This window comes from Homo sapiens, chromosome 7, assembly GCF_000001405.40.
Source record: "Homo sapiens chromosome 7, GRCh38.p14 Primary Assembly".
Lineage (NCBI taxonomy): Eukaryota > Metazoa > Chordata > Mammalia > Primates > Hominidae > Homo > Homo sapiens.
The window spans coordinates 108318409-108342435 of record NC_000007.14 but is presented as its reverse complement, the minus strand read 5'-3'; the positions used below and the strand labels follow the sequence as shown (position 1 = coordinate 108342435).

At 38.8% G+C, this 24027-nt stretch overlaps 1 protein-coding gene across 105 annotated transcripts in view; it reads left to right on the top strand.

Annotated features, from left to right (window-relative positions):
* The window catches only part of NRCAM (neuronal cell adhesion molecule), a 309072-nt gene that overhangs the window by 114285 nt on the left and 170760 nt on the right, over positions 1 to 24027 (top strand). For 7 of the 105 annotated variants that reach the window (NM_001371180.1, NM_001371178.1, NM_001371176.1 and 4 more), the window contains exon 1: positions 13910 to 14015. The exons of the other annotated variants lie outside the window; for them this stretch is intronic. The gene's annotated coding sequence lies outside the window, so the exon portion shown is untranslated. Of the gene's footprint in view, positions 1 to 13909; positions 14016 to 24027 lie in introns of those variants that run through there. 105 annotated transcript variants of the gene reach the window in all.

Genomic DNA, 24027 nt, shown 5'->3' with positions numbered 1-24027 from the left:
TCGGCAGAAGCCTGGTATGCCAAAGAACCCTCTTAGTTGCTTTAGGGTTTTGGGATGAGGATAAGCCAGTATGGGCTGGATACGTTCCTCACTGAGGGCCCTGGTGCCTTTGGATAATTTTAGCCCTAAGTATTTAGCCTGTTCTGAGCAGAGTTGAGCTTTGGTTTGGAAACCTTGTAGCCACAGGTGGCAAGGAAATTTAAGAGTGCTTGGGTGGCTTGATGGCACAAGGTTTCTGAACGGGCAGCTGAAAGTAAATCATTCACTTACTGAAGGACAAGAGTGTCCAGGTATGAGAACTGGCTCAAGTCTTGGGCTAATGTCTGGCCAAATAGATGGGGGCTATCCCTGAACCCTTGGGGTAAAACAGTCCAAGTGAGTTGAGACGTTGGGTTCGAAGGATCTTCAAAGGCAAAAAAGAATCGAGAGTCAGGATGTACAGGGATGCAGAAAAAGGCATCCTTAAGGTCCAGGATTATAAACCACTCTGCTTCCTATGGTATTTGGGAAAGCAGAGTATAAGGGTTAGGTACAGCTGGGTATAGAGGGACAACGGCCTCACTGATAATCCTGAGATCTTGCACTAACCTCCACTGTCCATTGGGTTTCTGTACTCCTAGAATTGGAGTATTGGAGGGACTATTGAATGGTTTTACTAAGCCTTGGGCTTTTAGTTCCTTAATTTTATTGAGTCTTTGTTGGGCCTCGGGTCTAAGGGGGTACTGCCTTTGGTAGGGAAAGGGGACAGAATCCTTTAGTTTAATTTGAACAGGATGGGCATTTTTTGCTCATCCATATTGTCCTTCTGTTGCCCAGACTTCAGGATTAATTCCTTCCTCAAGCAAGGGACCACAAACGGTTGTTCCTTCTCCTATGTTCAGGTGTATAATGGCCCCTGCTTTTGCTAGAATGTCTCTCCCTAACAAGGGAGTGGGGCTTTCAGGCATAATTAGAAAAGCATGTGAAAGAGTAAAGTTCCCCAGTCACAACTTAGTGGCTGGGAGAAGTATCAAGTGACTGGCTGTCCTAGGACCCCTCGGATAGTGACAGATGTGGAAGACAGTTGTCCGGGACAGGAGAGTAAGACTGAGAAGGCCGAGCCAGTGTCCAGGAAACAGTTAACCTCCTGGCCCTCAATGGTCAAGCATACCCGGGGCTCTGTGAGGGTGATGGGTTGGGCTGGCGCTTGCCCCAGGCACCCTCAGTCCTGCTGCCGGATCATCTGGTTAGTGGCTTCTGACTCAGAGGACCTTTGTCCCCTGGGGCAGTGGGCCTTCCATTGATTCCTTTGACATAAGGGGCATGGATGAGGGGGTGGCTTATTTGTATTTGGACAATCTTTTTAAAGTGTCCTTGTAGACCACACTGGAAGCAAGCCCTATTAGGCATTGGATTTGCCCAGCCTTTCCGTGTTCCAGAGCCTCCAAAGTCTGCTTGCCTGAGGGCCATAACTAAAGCGGTAGCCTTTTTTAAATCCCGTTTGTCTTGTTCTGCCTGCTTCTCCTTATCTCTATTATGAAAAACCAAGGTTGCCAAGTTCAATAGGGTTTCTAAGTTTTTGAAGTTTTTTCTGATGTCTGTAGCTGACTGAGTGATAAACTTATCCTTTAAGATTAGTTGGCCTTCAATAGAGTCAGGTGACAGAGAGGTATGCTTTCTCAAGGCCTCCCTTAGTCTCTCCAGAAAGGCGGTAGGATTTTCTTCCTTACCCTGTGTTATAGTGGACATCATTGAATAATTCATGGGCTTTTTCCTAGTTTTCCTTAGTCCTTCTAGCATGCAAGTTAGCAAATGTCTGCGGCACCAATCTCCGTGTTTTGATTCTGTGTCCCAGTGAGGGTGTACACTGGGAACTTCCTGCTGGCCTGTGGGCAATCGTTCTCTTTCCTCTGTTGTCATCCTGTCATTGACCTGACTGAGATACCAGAGATCGCCAAACTCTCGGGCTGCAGTTATGGTGGCACTTCTCTCATTTGGGGTTAGTGTCTGATTTAGCAGTAACATTACATCTCTCCATGTCAGATCAGATTGTCCTAACCCTTGTAAACATCAATATAGCCATCAGGGTTATCTGAGAATTGACCTAGGTCTATTTTAATTTGCTTCAAGTCTGAGAGAGAAAAAGGTACATGCACTCTGGCTGGGCCGAATTCTCCTCCTCCCACTGCTTGGAGGGGGCATAAACGGGGAATATTGGCACTCTTTGGTTCATTATTTACCCCTTTGTCTATCTCCTTTTGGACCATTTGGGTTGAAGGGGGTTGCTTATTAGTTGGAGAAGGAGTCAGGGGGATGCCGGGGTAGGGAGGTAGACTCTGAGAGCTTCCTGTAGGGCATAAATCACACTTTTTACATAATTGCGAGTTGTCTCTTAATGAAAAGAAAGTTTGTACATATGGCACTTCACTCCATTTGCCTTCTTTTCTACAAAAGAGGTCTAGCTGTAAGATAGTGTTATAATTTATACTTCCCTCAGGAGGCCAGGTTTCTCCCCCTTGAAGAGGATATTGTGGCCAGGAGGTAATGCAGAAGAATATAAGTCGTTTCTTTCTTAGAGTCTGAGGGTCAAATTGGTCCCAATTGTCCAGAATACATCTTAGGGGTGTTTTTGCCTTGAGGGGGAACATTTCCCATCTGAAAAAAGAACATAGGGATGCCAGCACCTCTAGTCATTTTCCGACGAGCATTAGTCGTAGAGCGTCCTCTATGGTCCTAATGCTTATTCCTTTCCAGAGTGTGTCACCACCCATGGACCTCTGCTTATTGGATTAGTTACGCTTACCAATGTAGCAGTCCTGCGCCTGTTTTCCCGCCTTTCTTAACCCAAAGAAAGGGGTTCGGACTGCTGGATTCTAGTGGTCCTTTACCAGCATGCCCAACATTGCCTTTGTGCTCAGGGGTGAGTCCTAGAGCTAGGCTGCATTCCTGAGTATTTCATGACAACCCAGCTGCCCCATCAAGATGCAGTCCCATAAACAGTTCTTAAGTAAATTCGTTTCACAGAGGGTGTAGGTAACCTTTTGAGTCAGGATTGAGATAATCTTTTTGATTCTAGAAGTACTTTAAGGCTTGGCTGAGTGCAAACAGCTCGCAGGTTTGGGGAGACCAATTATTAGGCAGTTTTTCTAACTCTGCTTCCACAAGAGTCTCCCTATCAATTACTGAATACCCATTGTGATTTTTTTCTCATTCACCTGGGAGGAACCATCTATCATCCTGTACTGAAGGGAGTTCCTCCTAGGTCTGGTCAGACCTTTGTATGGTAATTAAGATTTAAATCTCCTGTTAGGAAATCTTCTGGGTTAAGGGAATTATCAGTGATTAGTGTTAAATTACCTTTTTCTAACAAAATAACCCCATACTTTAAGATTTTTGAGTTAGTAAGCTACCTTTTTGCTTTTTTGACTTAGAATAATTCTGAACTGGTGAGGTGTGCTCACAATGAGGTTTCCTCTAAAAGTTACTTTTCTACTTTATTCTGTTAGCAAAGCAGTTGCCACTACAGATTGAATGCATTTGGGCCATCTGCGGGTTACTGGGTTAAGGATTTTTTATAGGAAAGCTATGGGTTGTCAGCGGTCTCAGTGTTTTCAGGCTACACCCTTGTTTACACTGAGAACAAGGTAGTATTAGAGTGTTACAGGGTCATGGAGAAGACCTTCAATTATCAAGTATAGGTTTTTTAAATTTACCCTGGCTTTTAAAGGAATAGGGCACACTTTTTTTTCTACTATTTCTTTTTCTTTCTTTCTCTCTTTGACTCCCTCTTTGTCTCTCTGCCTCTTTCTCCTCTCTGTGTCTCTCCCCTCTCTGTGTCTCTCTCCTCTCTGTCTCTCTCTCTGTCTCTCCCTCTCTCTGTGTCTCACTCTGTCTCTCTCTCTCTCACTTTCCTCTCTTAGCCATTTACAAACTTGGGGCCCTGGCAAGGGTGGTGGGGAATGGGTCCCACATAACTGCCCATGTCGAGAACTGTATACCTAAATCGGTAGGGACATCAGGGACAAGACTCCCTGGGTTTAGAGCCTAGATGCCTAAGGATACAGTGTAGAGCTTCCTTATATCCCTTTGGAGATACAACTTGCTAGAGGAAATGAAAGTCTGAACCATTAGCACCTAGGAGGCAGGGATCAGAGGAAGTAGATTCAGAGGTAAGGAGAATTTTGGGGCTACCCTTTTAAGAAAGTCATGGTTAGGACCCAGGAGGTATGGGTCAGAAGGAAAGATAGGGGCGCATGCATGGGTGACTGTTGAGTAGAGACTTCTGGCTGCGCCATGATCTCAACCGGCTACTGCCGGGAATTTGGGACAACAGCTTTCTGCCTCTAGTCGGCCCTTGGCTTCCCCAGGAAAATTGAAAGTGGAAGCTGGCTCCAGGCAGACCAACATTCCCAACCCAGAAGGGTTGGGGGTTGTTAGAAAGCCCTTCCCCAGATAGCCTCACACCTGAGTCTTAAGTCCGGAGGCCACGCTAATCGTTTTTAACCGGCCGACAGGTGTCCGGTATTTTCCTCCAATTCTAAGGAAGGATAGGACAGAATAGCAAGTGAAAGTGGTCCAATATTACCGCTTTGGAGGTCCCTTCGTGGTCGCTAAATGTTACTGGGTTGCGGGGAGGTCCTTGCTCCCAGAGCTCCCAAGATGGTGGCGGGCGGCTTCCAAGATGGTGGCAGGCCGCTTCCCAGATGGTGGCAGGCTGCTTCCAAGATGGTGGCAAGCCTCGTGTTCTCTGACCTAGGGTTCTTGGCCTCACAGATTCCAAGGAATGGAATCTTGGGCCTTGCGATGAGTGTTATAGCTCTATTAAAAGCCGTGGGTCATGGAAGAGAACTGTGGAACCCAGTGACTAGTGTTCAGCTCAATTAGGATGAACCTGGGCACTTAGCCATGCAGGAACAATGGCAAGCCTTTAGCCCGATTGGGAGTGGCAATGGGCCCCTCGCTGGATCAGGAGCACAGCAGACACCCTGCCAGATCCAGAGGGATGGAAGTCAGCAGTGGGTCTGCAACGGTGGCAAACAGCAGTGGTGGATGGCGAGCAAAAGCTCAGCTCGAGCCGTAACAAACATGGACCAGAAGAGTGTGCAGTTGCAAGATTTAATAGAGTGAAAACAGAGCTCCTATACAAAGGGAGGGGACCCAAAGAGGGTAGCCGTGGTTTTTTTTTTTTTTTTCTGAGATGAAGTCTCATTTTGTCACCCAGGCTGGAGTGCAGTGGCACAGTCTCAGCTCACTGCAACCTCCGCCTCCCAGGTTCAAGCGATTCTCCCACCTTACCTACCTGAGTAGCTGGGATTACAGGTGTGGGTCCCCAGCCCAGCTAATTTTTCTGTTTTTAGTAGAGATGGGGTTTCACCATGTTGGCCAGCTGGTCTTGAATTCCTGGCCTCAAGCGATTCATCCTCCTCAGCCTCCTAAAGTGCTGGGATTACAGGCATAAACCACCATGCCAGGCTGTGTTAACCAGTTTTTCACTATAATGCAAAATACATTTATTTTTACTATTACTTGCTCTTATCAATAACTTATTGGAAGAACTCTTAAGAATTTTCTATCTTATCTAGTTATCTTAATTAAAATTATCTTTTAATTCAAAAAGGAATCTATTTAACTGTAGTTATTTACTTGTAATTATTTATTGTTATTACTTAAGAGATATGAAAGTTATATTTTACCTAAAAATAATTTTTACATTCAGTTGTTTACATGAATTTTACAATGTGTGTGGAAAATTTTTGAAATGTGTGAGGATGAAGAGAGAGCTTAGGTTTAGTAGATCTCTATAGAATTAGGTTGGGTTTCCTCAGATAAAATCTTTTAGAACATTTTAAAGTTTCTAGTGAACCCTAGAAGAATCTGGAAAACTATATTCTTCGCTGGCACAATACTGAGGGTAGTGAAAGAAAATCAGGAGAACCTTTTAACTTTTAACATATTCGTAATCAATACCCATGATTTAAAAAAATTCATAATGTTGTTTGAAAGGCAAGTCGTTTTAGTTGTTAATTCCTACAGATAATGTTAAATCAGCTAATCGCTCTGGTTTTCATTCTTTTAAAAAATTTCTGTGCTTTTTATCATTTTATTTTTGTAAACACTGCGTCCATTCTTCTGGGTGCATACAAATGGATGCAAACATACCGAATAACAGAAGCTCTATCAGAAAAAGCATCAAATTGGATTAGACAGCCGGGAAGGGGCACTGGACTTGTAGAAGAAGCTTAAGGTCCTGTCCTGGATTTGCCTGCCTCAGTTATGTAAATGAGTTGGATGGTATTAGACAACCTCTTAAATATGAGTAATTATAGAAAATAAGGTCAGCAAAATCCTGAATTAGAAGAAAGGTCACTTGAATGAAGCAGGGGTCATGGACAACTAACAATTTATATAGACCAGAATAAAATGGGGCTCTGGACGTCCATTTATGTGTAAGGTCATTTCAAATCAAATAGGAGAGAGGCATTTTCAGAAGTAGTGTCTTGATTTAAAGATAGGTAATTGAAAATATTCTTTTGTTCTTTATAGTAATCCCCATCAATGGTAGTGCTTTCTACTGACTGTGGAAAATAGAAATAGAGGGGAAAAAAGAATTAAGCAACAGAGGGAAACAGTAGATAGTTAATAGAGTGATGGATCTGTCCTATGTGTGAGCTAGAATCTCTCCCAGGAATGTAATTTGAGATACGAGAGGACACTGTTCAGTTTATAGCAACAGTAAGATTTCTGTGGTTCAGCTGGAGGAAAAATACATCTGAAATCCAATAAAAAGCATTTTTTCACTTCAGTACCCTGGAATTAGCTCTAAGGACATATGTCTTTGGGGACTTCTGTGTGAGATTAGCAGGTAGGCATTTTCTGCATCTAAGGAATAGAAGAGAGATCAAAATAGTTGAATCTGAGATCTCCCAAGCATTCTTCAAATTACTCTCCCTTAGTTGGCAGCCAGCCAGCCAGCCACTTGTCTTTGCAGTGAAAACTGAAAAAAAAAAAAAAAAAAAAAAAAAGCAGGTGGAACAGATCCACAGGACATGAACCAGCCAGGTGAGGAATTGGAAGGGAAGTTTCCACTCTCTTATCTTCTCTTTATTTTTTATTTTATGAGGAAAAATATAGGGAATCTCTTATGTGTTCTGTAAAGGAAAATACATCAGTGGCAGAAGCATTTATTGCTTTAATAAGCCTATGATTATGATTTGTGTGGCATGGTCAACATGAGATTTAATACAAATTCTTATGTGACAATATCTGTGGTTTGAAAGAGAGTGCACTAACACTACATATACTAACAAATTCCAGCTCCATAATTTTCTTGCTCTGTGGCTTGAGGCAAGTTACTTCTCTGACCTTCAGTGTCCTCTTCTGTAAAATGGCAATAGTAGTTGGAAATATATCAGTGTTATTATAAAGATTGTTAATTAATGGATGTAAATATGCCTAAAACAGTGATAGAAGGGTTCAACAAATGCTACCTTTTATTACATAACCCTGTCTTAATATAATATAAAGAGCAAAATGGTCAACATTTCCTGTTTCCTAATTTGTCTCTTTAGTTCTCATTTCTCATCTTATCTAAAATATTAGATATATCAGGGCATACCATTTTATTACTGCTTGACTACTAGATACTATTTTATTTCTATTTGTAAATCATCTGAAGAAATCAAGTGGGAGGGTGATGTTTGGTAGCCTGTTCCCTCCTTGGTGTGTCTGGTTACTCACAGGCACACGCTGTCCAGTGGGCCATGCCCCCATGTTGGCTTTCTCATCTCAGGTGGGACTGTGATCTGATGGCCATGTTCCTCAGCTAAATTGTCATGGGGCAAATGGACTTGGATCTTGTTGTTGAAGAAAGAGAGGGATTTGAACAGAGGGAGAGGAGTGAGGAACACATTCAAAGAACAGTGTCTGCAAACAGAGAAAACAGGTGGAATGGGCCTGGTGTGTTAGGGGTAGGTACCGTAGACCTGTTTAGCTGGAACAGTCTAAGACCCATGGAAGATCAATTCGGAGTCGTAGGTAGGGGATGGATTGTAAAGGATTTTGAATAAGAGACCAAAGATTTTATTCTATAGGCAATGGAAATCTAACCTGTGGGTAATAGATGCTAATTGGTGTTTGGGAAGATTATCATGTCTTACATCTATTGAACTGTTTGAAATATTTAAGGTAATTTCCAGTTCTGCAGCATGTAAAGGTGATCACATACACTTCTGGTTGTGCTAGAAATAACAATGCAACCATTTAAAAAATAATGTGTAATGGCACATCCATAAACATGTTTCTACTTCTATTTTTTAAGGAAAATGTTCAAAAATTCTTGATGTTGTGACAAAAATTATGGCACAGCATTTCAGTGGAATATTGTGTGTTCACTTGAAATTACAATTCTGAATATTGTTAGCAATATGAAAAATATTTGTGACATAATGTTGACTTCAAAAATTAAAAATTTAAGATTGCAACTTTGTTGAAATTACGGACACACACACAGAGACACACACATTCAAACAAGAACTGTAAGGAAAGCCTGATACAATAGAGATGGGGGTTTTGTGAAGAATGTTATTATTTCCCATAGTGTTGTCTAAGAAAAGAAAGATGAGTGACTAGTAGGATGAACTGTAGCAGAAGGAGTAAAGTCAGTTAAAAGAGTTGCATTGATCTTTTAGGAACTCTTAACTTGGGTTGTTGAACTTTCTATTGTATGAACAATAGGTGTTTAGGGGTTTCTGAATTTCTTGGGTTAGGGTTCTATATCTTTTAACAGATTCTAACCTAATGCTCAGACTATTAAAAAATATATCGGAGTGCCTGGTTTTTAACATGTCCCCAAAACATCATTGTAACAACTGTTATAAAAGACAATTTGTTAAATTTTTTTCTAAGAACAGGTGATAGATTTTACAGTTTAGAAAATATTTGAAAATATCTGATTAAAAAGATCTCTTCCAGCTAGGGTGATTTTGGTGAGTTTTGTTAAAATAGAATTATCAAGCCTTTTTCTATTTTAGTTTTACAAATGAATTCCTTCTCCATTATTCAAATATGGTGCTAGATGTCAGCAGTGAAGTTATTTAAAAAATAAACTTCTATGTAGTATATTCTTATATAGAGATATTCTAGAGAGAATGATTCCAGAAAGGGTGCACGTGTGTGTGCGTGTATGTGTTTAAATATATGATGAGAAAGAGGTAGGAAAAATTACCTCAGTACTTGAACACACTTCAGTAATGTGTGGTTGTTTGGGAGATTATTGCTATAGCAATGGAAACTTCCAGAAAATGGTAATAAGCCTTGTTTTACAACTAGTGATATAAATGGAAATTATTTGCTCTGGGAACACTGATCGTATTTCTGTTAAGTGATTTGGACATTACTTGAGCTGGGCAGTCCCAAGGAAGTAGTTAGGTTGAATCATATAAAATTGCTGGTATTTGACCTTTTTTGATCTACAAAACAGCAATTGCATAGATTTGATCCTTTTATGTTTTACAACCTCCTTTTTTTCTCTTCTTATTTCTATCTCTTGTTACATCCTTCCAAATTTCGGTTATTATTACATTGTCTATTCTGTTCTTTGAATTGTCTGATACATTTTCATGTATACAAAGATAATTCTCACTGACTTTAAAAGCGATGCAGTTAGACATGTGTTTTGAATAAGATGTGTGTTGTATTGACACACCCCATGTCTACATTGTCTTGATATGTACATTAGTAGCCATAAAGAGGCGCTATATAAAGTGTTGTAAATATATAGTGTATGATACATTCTGATTAGTTTTAGTATTCTTGTTAAAGGCATCCAGTGTTTGACTACTTTCATTCACAGGGATTCTTTTTTTAAGGAATCGTTCTTAGTTGTCACAATACCACAGTTCTTTTGTAAAAGCAGTGGTTTGGAAAACCCATATGTACTCTATACAAGGAGGGACATGAGTGGTAAGGAGATGGTGATTGAAGGGAAGAGAAGCAGTGAGCCGAGAATTAATGAATGTGAGATGACTGTCTTCACAAAAAAGCAAATTTCATTCTTGGTGTTTTGATAGTGCCCAGATACAGAAAGTAACCCAGTCTCTACTATTCTCTTGAAATATTGAAAAATATACCAATTTGCATCAAGAACATTTTTTCAGTCATTCTCCTTAACTCAGCATCATGATGCCTTTCTAGAATTTTGGCATTTTGCCTATCAGTAAATTATGAAAAAGCAATAGGATGTCAGTCTGCTGTGCCATCAAATTATCTGTGGGGTTCCTGGGTCTCTGTACAGTATTTACAGAAACAGATGACTCCTGTGGCACTTTCCTCAAATGACGTGACACTTAACTTGTCTCCACTATGCAGATCTGCAGTGTTGAGAAACACACTCTTTGATGCCTGGTGAGCTTCTTGGCATAGCATAGCATTTCAGGAGAGAGGAAAGAAACACTTGGTTAATTCATTTTTCCCACTTAGTTTATGGGCTACTTTAACAAAAACTTTACCTCATGTTCAGCCAGGTAATTGACACTCTTTTTACTTCCTGTAGAAGAATTTCAAAAGAAAAGCATCCATCATTTCTGTGCTAGGAGAACTTATAAAGACATTGCAGAAAAAAACTGGCAATGAATGTGAACTTGGGCCATTATAAAGGCCTGCTAAATAATGTCAAAAATAAAGATCATGAAGGTAAACGAGTAGCTCCAAGTAGAACTCTTGCATTCTGGATGAAGTCCTGAAAGAATCATCTACACATCTTTTCATTCATAGATGGTGTCTGTTTTATTTCTATTTATTTAAAAGAAATACTTACATAGCATCTGCTATGTGCCAGGCACTGAGGTAAGTAATTTATGAATATTAATTCATTTAATCCTCATAATAGCCTTCCAAAGAAGGTACTATATTATCCTGATTTTACATATAAGGAAACTGAGGCACAAGGGCAAATATACCACACATGCATTATGGTGTTTAGAACTATAACATTTGCATAGTAAGTACTTTATTAAAAGCCGAAAATTTCTGATTATATCTATTTTTTTTTTTAAGTTTAGAGACAGGGTCTCACTCTGTTGCCCAGGATGGAGTACAGTGGTGCAGTCACAGTTCACTGCAGCCTTGACCTTCTGGGCTCAAGGGATCCTCCTACCTCAGCCTCCTGAGTAACTGGGACTATTACAGGTGTGCACCACTACACCCAGCTAATTTTCTTTTTTATATAGAGACGAGGTCTCACTATGTTGCCCAGGCTGGTCTTGGACCCCTGGGCTCAAGCAATCTTTCTGCCTCGGCCTCCCAAAGTATTGGGATTATAGGCACGAGCCATTACGCCCAGCCTGCATCTACTTTGATCAGAATTTTGATATATATATTTTTAGGTTTAAATGAAAAAATATTTCTGTAAAAAAGTACATCTAATATTTTTGTGTGCTTAAAATGGATACTAAGCATTATAAGGATATAATGGTTAAAATGGATACTAAGCATAACTAAGAAAATTAGTCACATTCCTGTAATGGATAGGTCTGGACAATCTGAGAGATTGAGGGAAACAGAAAGCTGCGTGTACATTTTGGTGCCACGAATCGCCTCCTCTGGCCCCCAAAATGGAACTGCCTCTTTCAGAGTGTGTTAAACCAGATGATAAAATATAATAACCTGATGAGCTTAAAATGAGATACCCCAAATTACATTTTGGAAGACAGAGCTGCTTTTGTGAAAGGAGTGATTGCTGTCAGGTCAAGACAAAGAATTAGTTCAAAGGGCCCCCTTCTGCATGGCCATCCCAGTGGTCCTGTTTTGGTGGGACGGTACCCATTCTTGTCGTAAAATGACAGATTCATTGATAGATTGTGAGGAGCCTGTTAAACCCAGTACCTCTATTTACCAAAAATTATTTTGAGTAGCCCAGTGAGTAACTACTGCCGCAAAGTAACGGGCACAGTGGGAGCCAGAGTGAGAAACGGGCCTGCAGAAACATTTCGTGTTTAATGGGTCTGGAGCTGTAGTGAAGCAGTGTGCTGAAATAATTCTGATTAGGCTCGGTCAGGCAAGCTGCTTAATCAAGACTCGTCTCTCCTCCATTGAGCCCTTACTGCTCAGAGCACAATCACAGTTTAAAGCACCATTTTAAGTAGTCCTTCCACTGTTCTTGAAAATGCAACCTTTTTTCAAGTTGGTGTGTGAGCCTTTTTTATACCTGTGGGAATAGCTAACTAGGAAAAGAAAAGGTTATGTTAACATATTAATAGGAAAACATGGACAAATTCTTCTTTCCAATGGAAATGCATATTTAAATTTTATAAATGCACTTGAAAGAAATGATTGGAAAATACCAAAAGGAGTAACACTATAAATCATAGTGTCTAACCTGGTTTCTGTAATCAGTCATGTGTGTTGTATCAATGACTAGGCAGCTGATTATTTTCTGTTTTCTATCAGCTGGTACCACTAGTAACACATATACATAGCAGTAGATATGTAATCAAGAGGAAATAAGTTTAAAGGCTTTCCTCCCTATTTCTTTTATCTTTTGAAAGAATGAAAATCAGAAAATGATTTCCATTTTTCAAGTTTTTATTAGCATAAGTCAAGGCTCATTGGGACATATTAAGCAGAGAAATGGATGTGCAGAGATAGGAGCCAGTCAAGATTCTCTGATGTCTCTACTTGGTTGGGTTTCAGAGGTCATGTGATTACAGTCATTGTTGATCTCTCTGACAATACGCTTTGAAGGAGATTAGGTTACATGTTGATTGTGCTTTTGTGAAGAAGGGCATTATTCTAAGCAGGTCTTTAAGAATTGCTGAAAAGAGCTTCAAAGAAATATATTCACCCATTGTTCATGTAACAGTCACTGTAATAAATGCAGAACAGTTTTTCAGGTTTGGAAGTGAATAACCGTAATTGAAAATACAGTAAATGGACACTTTCAAAACTTGAATCATAGCTGGTGAATGAGTTATAAACCTGCTTCTCTTGAAGTTTTTCCAGAGAACCTGAAAGCTTGAAAAGCAATCATTAGAAGTTTAAGCAAAATAAATGGTTAAGGATTTGTGGCGGCCTCAACAATGAGGTCCTACTGGACATAATACATTTTAGAAATACCTTCTATTACTTTTTAAAGGTCTTATCATGAAATATAATCCTAATGTATTATGCACTCTAATGAAAATACCAGCTCACTATTCATTATTTATTTGTGTACTTAGGTACCAATAGCATCTGGCTTAGAAGAAGAATAATAAGCAACATGTTAAAATTCTTACAGCTTGGATGGGTGAATACTCATGACTGTGGGTACTAGAGAAGCCCAAGAGAGGAATGAAATTCAGAAATAAATAGGTAGGGGGAAAGAAAGTAAGAAAAATAGTTATAATATTTATTTTTACTGAGATCTTAAATTAACTGAATCAAATAGAGTTTCTAGGCTTCCATGAAAGAAAAATCAGAAATGACTGTTGTGAGTCATTGGACAGCAAGTTCTACCATCTATGTGATGTAGGTTCTGAGGCTGAAATAAAGAAGCCAGTCTCAGCAGTTATTGTGTCTTGTCAAAAGGAATAAAAACCCAGATGGCCATTCTAAAATGTTATTTTGAGTTAGTACAAGATTTAAAAAGAAAGAAGAAACTATGTAACAGCTTTACAATCTCCCCCTCATAGGTGAAAATATGGCAGTTACTTTCTTGAAACAAGATTACCAAATCATAACCTATTGTGTGTTTTGCTAAATCATTTTGAGCAACCAAACAGATTTTTCTTGCTTCTAAATGGATACGAAGAAATGTTTAACTCCCATTGTATTGCCACAAAGCCAGGCTGATCACCCTGGGAGGCCTGGGAGGTCTGAGCAGCTTTGGATTGGCTGTCAGGAGCAGGACTTTAACATTTTACTGCACATGGGCCAGCCACAGCAGGGTTCAATTGCCAGTGCTTTTATCTGCAGAAATGTGCTGGGATGGGCACTTTGTTTAAAATTTCCCTTTGCTACTGGGAGGAAATGGAAAGCAGTAAGATAACTTCATTTGTAAGGTAATATCTGTGCTTGTTTATGTACTTTATGGAAAGTAATGTTTGACAGTCCAGAGACTGGCTGGTTTTTGTTCCTCCTCTCAGGTATCGTTTTAATGATTTGTTTAAAACCGAAGCCCAGATTAGAATTGTATTCCATCTATAACAGCTTGTCTGAAGCTTGATATTCTCTGTTCATTGATTTGGTTTTATTTTGTGTGCTATTGGTTAGTGGAGTTTGTTTCACATAGCTTGTTTAACACTTAAAAGAGGAACTTTCGTGGGGCAACTGACAGATATGGTTTGAATATTTTTAGTAGCAAAATGTGAACATATTGTAAAGAAAAATTAAGTGCTGGTATGTTTGTTTGTCATCAGGGTACATCCACAGGGTGTGTTAAGATGTAATTTTAATGCTTTTGTCATTCTTTCTGTGGATATTTGTTTTTAATAGTCTCACAGACCATTTTCATATTACCTTAAGACAATTTTCTAGTTAGGCCTTATTCTCCCTTATTTTCTGCATGCCTGATGTTTTTGAGGATAGTATAATACTTTTTGTGTGCAAAGTGTAGCATAAACTTTACTCATGTATCTTTTTGATTAAAAGCAGAATCTACTGTCATTCCCTCGGCACTAACTTGAGAGTTTCCCTTAGGTTTTTTGTATTGATTCTCCTGTATTCCAGAGAGTTCAGTGGTCAAGAGGATGAGAGAAGCTGGATGAAGGACACATTTTTTAAAAAATATCATAATTGGATGTGTTAGCTTTAGCTCTTGAAACATCTTCAAAGACCATCTGTAAGATTATACTCCATGCTTCTCAGTTCTTTGAACCTCATGAAATGAAACATGGTGTGATTATACCTAATGCAATTTGGTTTCAAGCTAGTATCTTGAAACCAAAGTTTTGCATCTTTAGAAACACCCCTGAAAATACTCATTATCTGACTTTTATTACAGCTGGACATGAAGCAAGTGCATTAAATACACTCTGCCATTTTCCTAGGGCAGTTTTTCTATTTCTGTTCAGATTTTTGATGAACAGTAACAAAATCTGATGAAAGTCACCAGAAAAATAACTTATGTTTGTATATAGTGCTTTATAGTTTGCACTATTCAGTTTGATCCTCTTAACCATCCTCTGCAAAGAGAGCACGTCTTATTAGCCACATTTTAAAGATAAGTGAGATTTAGAGAGACTAGACTGAGCAGCATGCCTCAAGCTACCCAGCTAGGAATAGGCAGAGCTGAATTCCCACCCAGGCATTCGGACCAGTATCCTTTCCAAAATGCTGTGTTGGCTCCATGTGCTGGATATTTGCTTTAAAGATCAGACTGTTTGGACTAAGCCTCTTAATAGGAAGGCTCTGGCAACAGCTGGTGTTAGGTAGATTAAAAATAAAATCAAAGACTGTTTGGTTGGAAAGTGGAAATAATCAAGAGAGTGAGGGAGAAGGGAGAAAGATACCAAAATAACCAAGTGTTGTTTAAAGAAGTCAAGGATAAGGGCAGCATGATACATGGGTTTCATGATTGCCTCTTTTCTCTCCTTGAAAAAGGTTTTTATCCCTCAGGGCTGCTTTCTCTTGTCCCTGGTCTCTTTGAGAAATTTGCTATGCATCATCACCACAGGCCACTGTGAATTATAAATAGGAATCTAGGGCACTTTCCCCAAACTTAATATCTACAGTTCATGGCCAGAAAATAAAGGATCAAATCTGTAAACCTTCCCTAGGTCTCATGTTTACTTACACAATATTGAGAATAATATGTTTCTGCTGTTGAGTTATATTCACTTGCCACGTCTTCCTTCTTTTCATTCTGAATTTTCTTGCTCTTCAAGTGACTATGCTTTTTAGTTTAATTCTACTACTTTGTTAGCCCAGTTCTCTTGACTTTCCTGATTATAGTTTGATTTTCATGGTTTCTTTCCATTTTTCTCAGGAAATCTTGCTAGAGATACTATACTGTGTAATACTTAGCCTTACCCTGAAATTCAAGTGAAAATTGGAATGCTTTTCAAGCCCGGGCCCCAGTTGAAATACTTACTGCCATGCCATTGATATAAATAAGATTGTAAGAATACTCTTTTACTTGGTTCTTTCCTCAGTATTCAAAATGTCTTCATAAGTGGGAAGTTCTTATTCACATCAGTTGTCTTTGGTACCAATATACTACACAAACCAGTTCTGTTAATCTGTTACATATGATTTTTTGAATCAAAACATAGAATTAGATGTATCTTTTTATATTAACTTTGTCTTATTGAACACAAAACATGTGTATGCGTAGATTTTTACACATACGTGTGCTTATTTTTAAATTAACATTTATTAGTTTTTCTGTTGAAGATTACAAAAAGAATTTAAAATAATGAGATACTCAGCACTCAGATACATCATTCTGAGTGAGGATAAAATATTCTAAAGATTTAAAGATTGACTAGTACATAAAGCTATAAAATTATATGTAAATATCTCCCCCTCAGATTCCTTTCCCCAAGGTAAATGCTCTTATTCATCTTTTGTGTATCTTACCAGAGATACGTTCTATGCATCTAGTGGCCAAAATTGATTTTTCAAATAAAGAATTTCAAGCTAACACTTATCTGATCACTCTGTGGAGTTAATTCACTAATTCAACTAATATTTACTGATGCTCTGTTTTAGGCATTGTTCTAGGCACTGGGGATATAGCATGAACAAAACAGACAAAAATTCCTGCTCTCATAAATCCTACATTCTGGCACATGAGATTAAAAAAAAAGATGAATCAATAAGACATGTAGTAAGTTAGATCATGATAAGCGTTAAGGCAAAAAATAAAGCAGAGAATGGAGGTGGGGCATCTAATGTAGGTTACCTTTTTGGACAAGGCAGCCAAAGAAGTCTCCATAGAGATGACATACAAGAAAAGCCCTGAAGATGAGGGGGAAAGCAACGTAGATACTGGGAACAACTGAAGCAACAGATTGGAACTCCAAGATCCAGGAAAAAAAAAAATCTTTTCTAAATGTCAAAAGGTAGGTTTTTTCCTAATGAGTTGCCCAAGATGAAGGAAAGAGAGGTAATTCATTTAAAGTAATAATCCCTTAATTAGAGTCATGTACCACTTCATAGATAGAATGAAAGTTCTCATTCTTAATTATTCTGCAAATAAGATGACCCAAGTCATGAGTAGGTGACCCAGGTCACCTACCTAGAGAAGATGCCATGGTAATCCAAGAACTTTCTGCTTACACATTTTCTCTTCTCCATTGGTTCTGAAGTTGCCAAGAATTTTTTTTCTAGGTTAGCTGAAAAGACTAATGTATTTTCCTTCTTTTCCCACAAGAACCATTTCCAGAATCTTCCCTTTGAGTAGTAGCCCTTGCCGCTACCTTTCTAGAGAACGAGGAATAATGCTTGAATGCAGCCACCTCCTTTCTATTTGGTGGAGGGAGGTTTCACTCCTATTGTTTTTAAGTAATCAGGGCCTCAAGGGTTAGGTTTGCCTGGTACGTGGTGTCTGATTACACCAGCCATAGCTAAAGCTAAAAAAAAAAAAAAAAAAAAAAAAAAAAGTACAGTGCCAAATATTACACAAACAGGAGTTAAAAGTCAGTGAGCATTTCTTTGGTTAATATGGACATAACAGCATATGAAAGCAGGTTGACAATTTGTTTCAAAAATGGTTTTGTGCACTGCTATTGGGACTTAATTAACTTGAAATACAGATTTGTAGACGTTATTGAAAGTGGAAGCTGTTGGCCTCATCCCATTCTTCTAAACCTAATCCTGCTCCTCCTTACCACCCAGCCCCCGACTGGACAGGGAGGCTTCCATGTGGCCTTCATCCATTCTGTGATGCAGAGCCTGTTGAAGAAAAGCAGGTGTCTTTACAGAGAACTTCAATAGAATCCTGTCAAGTCATTTGTGGTTTTGGAGCATAGTTTACTTGCTGATTTGACTACACCCAAATTTGGCCTGTTTGAACCCTTTTAAACAGGGTTCAAATGCTTATCTGATGTGAAGACAAGCATTATTATTGACAGGGAGGAATCGGGAAGGAAAGGCTTTAAAGGAAAAAAGTTTGTTAGGGAATGAAGTAACTCAAATAAGAAACCACAGTTAGAGAAGAAGGGTGTGTTTAATAATTGAAAGCTGTGAAACTCTACCCATGTGGCACCCCCAGGATCATGCCACTAACCTCTGCTCTGGACTATTGTAAGAGCCTTTTATGTGGTCTTCCTGTCTCAATCTCACTCCCCTTCAGCCTATTCTCAATACAGCCTATTCCACCCTTCAAAATGGAAGTCAGGTCATGTCACTCCCCTGCTCAGGACTCCTCCAGGGCTTCCCATTTCACTCAGTGGAAGCCAGAGGTCTTGCCCTAGATCATGTGGTGCCCCTTTCCATCCCTTACTTCATCTCCCACTGTTCTCCTGCTTGCTGCTCCTCTCAGCCACCTGGCCGCCTTGCTGTTCTAAGACAGGCAAAGAGATTCCAACCTCAGGGCCTTTGGATTTGCCCGGAACTTTCACCTTGCCTGCAAAGCCCTTTCGCAGTGGCTCTCACATTCACAGCCCTCAAATCTCTTTGGAATTACACCTTCCAAGAAGGTTTTTCCCTGACCATTGTACTTAAAATTGCAGCCCCTCTTTATCTTCACACTCTATTTTCTCACCATACTTTATTTTTTGCAACCTAAAACACAATATTTGTTTACTTATTTTAATTACTATTTATCTTCACCCACTAGAATATAAGCTATTGAGTGCAGAGATTTCTGCCTGTATTATTTACTGCTGTCTCCAGCACCTGGGACAGTGTCTGGTACATACTAAGTACTCAGAAACTATTTGCCAAATAAGTTAATAACTTGTGCAAATTTAAGTGGGAAAAAGAATTTGCTTTCTCTAAGAGTAATAAAAGTCTGGGGATTGCACAATAAGGATAAAATTCTTAAAATGAAAGAGATTTGGTGAATACACAGCCCACATCCACTTATAGGCATGTTTCCTGGGTGTACTGGATAGCTGATTCTGAAGGATAGGCCTTGGATGCCTTCAATGTCATGCTTAAATGCAAATGATGCTGGGAATTGCAATGGAGAATAATGAAAAAATGTGGAAATGGAATGGTGGAAATAGAAATTGGTTGCTTTGCTTCCAAAGTAACGATTTTCAAAGCAAAGGAATTGAATAGGAAATACATTAACAAAAACAGTGTCTCTGAAAATGCAAACTTCATTCACATTCTGATCTGTGCAATTTTTCAAGCTCAGTGATCCAAGGTCAGAGGGCGCTTGTATTAGCATAGACCTCGCTTTGTTAATTCACCTCTGACTAAAACCCCTGAATTCCTTATTATGATAGGCCTTCCAATGACAATAAAACCAAGCTCTCATAACACCGGTAACATTTATACAGCACTTAGGCAATTCCTAAATGAATTGTCCCCAGAGACCTTGAGAAATAGGTCAGGATTATTAACCCCATTTTGTACACAGAGAGGAAGTAATTTGCTTAATGTCACTTGGTAAGCTATTTAATTCATAATTTGATTGCTTTATTTGTAATAATGGTTTGTTTAAGACAGGCTATGTTACATTAAAGATGACCTCTTTAAATGGGCAGCTTTATATTTGAACTTAACTATAGTTAGCAACCTGCAACTGATAATATTCCAGATTTCTTTTAAGATCAGTGTTTCATAACCTTAAAATGGGAGACTGATTTAGAGAACTGAGTGGTCAGAGACTCCCAAAGCCATTTTGATATTGATCAACATTAGGCCACTCTCCTCCGCTGACACTACCGAGATATCTATAATGCAGGTTTAGGTGTGATTGGGAGTCCTCCCAAGCCATAATTTAAATCCTTTTAGAATTCCCTTGCCTTTTTATGCTCAAAAAGTTCCATTTGGTTCAAAAAATCAGTGTAACTAAAACAAAATCAGTGTTTGCAGACAACTAAGAACTAGAGACAAAGTCCTCATTAGGAGGTCCCAAGTCCCAACCAATAGGGAACGTGGGATAAACATCACAGAAGCTACATCAGAGTCATATTTGGAAACCACTTTATTTTGTTTCTGTTGTGGTTCATTCCTTTTACTTTCCAGAACAGTACTATGAAAAGACTTCAAATTCAGTTCAATGAGCCTGTCAAATATTCAGGAAGTTGTGAGGAAATATAAAGTGAGGGGACTACTTGTAAGTTCATGTCTGTATCAAGGGAAGACTAGAAAACTAGAACATCTAAAAAGAATGTTGAACCAAAAATGACTTGCCAGCTTTGAAAAAAAACGAAATGTCTAGTCTTTATCCAACTGTTTGAAAGTTTTTCAAAACTTCTCCTCATTTCATCTTTATAATGAGATTTATTTACTGCCAACAGCAACAAAAAAAGATGCACAGCCAAGTTATAATTCTAATTTTTTAAAAAAGTCTTCCTCGCCTTCCTTTTAAGGAAATGCATTCATTCTCCTTCACTGTTCCTGAATCTGCTTTACTATATTTTTATGCCTGTCTTTACATCTGGTTTATTATTTTTAACACCTGCTAGAATATGAGCTACAGTTTTGATACCAACGGCCAAGTTAATTGGGCATATAAAAGTTTGTTTGAAAGAAGAATTTTACACATGAAACTTTTGAAAGATTTTGTATGCAATTATGTTAAAATTGGTCAGACCAAAGTGTAAATGGATAGAGCAATAAAATTACTAGGTCTTAAATCAAATCAGATTAAACTTTAAGATCTTTGTGAGCCTCAGTCTCAAAAAGTGATGGTCGTAGAGGCCTCTTTGCAAGTAGGTCTTACTTCCCAGGACCTATAAAAACAAGGGGCCTTTGGTAGGTGGTATGGTTTGTATGTTTTGCCCCCTCTAAATCTTATTTTGAAATGTGATCCCCAATGTTGGAGGTGGGGCCCAGTGGGAGATGTTTCACTCATGGGGGTGGATCTCTCATAAATGGCTTGGTGCCCTCTTTGTGATAATGAATTACTGTGAGATCTGATTGTTTAAAAGAGTCTGAGACCTACCCTACTCTCACTCACTCTCTTGCCAGGTGACACACTGGTTCCCCTTCTTGTGCCATGATTGTAAGCTTCCTGTACAGCCTACAGACCATGAGCCAAAAATAAACCTCTTTTCTTTATAAGCAATCTCAGGTATTACTTTAAAGCAACGGAAATGAACTAGTAGGTTATAACACAGTAGGTTATAATAAAACATGGCTAAAGCATCCTTGGGAACGTTCCCTGGCTAAATACATTGAATTCTTAATGTAGTGTAAGCAGAAAAATGAATTGACAGATCTTAATTGTATAAATGACAGTGTGGTTAAAAGATGAATTATGCAAGTTATATGAGCCAAACCTATACAACTTTTCTGAACTTGAATGATAGTCTAGAGTTGTACTGTGTTGTTCAGGGGACAGAATAGCTCACTATGCAATTAAAAGTTTGATGTTTCCTATCCTTGTTTTTATCCAGAATATGAAATGCACAGAAATGTCTGTCATCTACTTATTGAGCATTTACGCCTGCGTAAATTAACATAGTGAACCTGATTGTATACAAAGCATAGAGTTTTTCTTATTACCATATATATTTTCTGTTAGCACACAGTATTATGCTGGTCTGAATTTTTTGTCCCATTCAACAGTATATATTACATTGATAATCATATTTTAAGGGAAGAAATGTTGCATGTGTGTTTGATTCTTTGTTCAAGTTCTTAGATACTAATCAAATTTGTACAACAATTAGTTAAGTTTCCTTTGTCACTTTATGTGTCAATGAAACATGCCTAAATAATCATATTTTATGAAGTTTAATATAATTTATTTAATCAAATAGTTTCACTGTTGTTTTGTGTTTTAAAATAGTCACTCTTTTTTTTTTTGACAGTCTTGCTTTCTCACCCAGGCTGGAGTGTAGTGGTGTGATCTCGGCTTCATTAGTAGATTATATAATAGTACCTTAAGAGACCGTTTTGTTTTGTTTTGTTTTGTTTTGTCTAGCTCTGTTCTCCAGGCTGGAGTACAGTGGCTCACTGCTGCCTCGACCTGCCAGACTCAAGCAATCCTCGCCTCAGCTTCCCAAGTAGCTGGGACCACAGGTGCATGCCACCATGCCCAGATAATTTATTTTTATTTTTATTTTTCACAGAGACAGGGTCTCCCTGTGTTGCCCAGGCTGGTCTTGAACTCCTGGACCCAAGCTATCCTCCTTGCCTTAGCCTCCCACAGTGCTCAGATTATAGGCATGAGTTACTGTTCCTGGCCCAAGAGACTATGTTTGATCAATACCAAATAATTAAAAATTGGAGTGCTGTTAATAATTTTTTATCTTATGATAAATCTTTGGTATATTAAACACTATCAAAAGTGTTTTTTTATAACTGTATAGGAATTCACTTGTAGTTCTTGCCTTCATTTTCAGTTGGTAGTTTTTAAATTGTCAGAGCAGCAAAATAAGTATTATTTGTGATCAAATCATTCCTCTTCCACCCTCAGCTTTCTTAAAATACATCAGTGGCTTCCCATTGCCCTTAGGATAAAAGGCTGAAAGAACTACAGGGCTCCAAGTGGCCAGGCCTCTGTCTGCTTTGTCAGCCTCATCAGACCTGTCCCTCTTATCCCCTGCTTTTCTTCTTCTCATTTTGTGCCCAATTAAATTGTGCATTGGTATCAAAACTGTAACACATCTTTCCTTCCCCAGCTCTGTAGGACCTCAGCTCAGTCATCATTTCCTTAGAAAAGTCTGACCTTGACAAAGCCGGTTCCCATCACCACACACTCTAGGAGCACCACACACCCCTGCCTTAACAACTTTTCAAAATTGGTATTTTTAGATCCATTTCTGTGATTATTTGTTCAATATCTATCTTCTGCCATTGACCATAAGCTTCATGAGGCCAAGAAGAGACTGGTTTTCTAAGGTTCACTTCTTTATAACCATTGTATTTCTGATGCTCAGCATAGAACTTGGCAAATCATAGGCGGTTAATAAATGTTTTGCATAACGAGGTGATAAGTAAATGCTCTATGAGGGCAGGGATTTTTTCTATTCTGTTTATTACTGCATCCTCAGTGCCCAGAACAGTGCCTGAGCCATAGTAGTTGGTCACTAAATATTTGTTGAATAAATTAATGTTTTCCTAACTTTTCAAGGACACAGAAAGTATTAATGGAGGAATTTAGGGTATAAGTTGAATTTTTTTCCTACAAATATCATGTCTATTAACTTACAGAGTTGGAAGGAAGTTTATAGCCATGTTTTCCTTTTTTATTGTGGTAAAATATATATAGCACAAAATTTGAGATTTTGACAGTTTTTAAGTGTACAGGTCAGTAGCATTAAGTACATTTATATTGTTGTGTGACCATTATCATATCCATCTTAGAAAATGTTTTCATCATCCCAGATTGAACCTCAATACCCATTAAACAATGACTCTTCATGTAGTTGTAGATTTATAGAACATTTTTTATTTGCCTTAGAATCTTTCTTCCCACTTGACATAGAAGTCTGATTTGTAAAATATATAAACATGAACTGCTTTTGCTTCCTGAATAGGGTTGGATGCCTCGACTTCATTTGTTTCATTCTATAACTTGGTGGGTGGCAACCTCATCTGGAGGCTGTTCCAGGGCTAGGATGGCTAGGGGAGACCGGGATTCCCAGGGCCACGCTGAAGTACGTCTGCTCACCCGTGAATGAAACCTCCTTTTCTCTATTCAGAACCAGGGGTCATCTTTGTTTTCTCCTTCTTATCACCACCTTCTCCACACACACATGTGCACTCATACACACACAGACTCATGGTCACTTTCCTGAGACTCTGAGCTGCTCAAGGATTGGAATCCTTTGTTACTTACCTAGATTCCAAGTGCTCTTCTGTGTTTGTCAACAGTGTGTTTTCCACCCTGTGGAACGTTCCTGATATTACTTTGAGAAAGGGAATCTAACAGCCTCACAATGTTGTGTATTTCATTGTTTAACCATCATTATCCTAGAGACATTATTTCACCATGTTGATTAT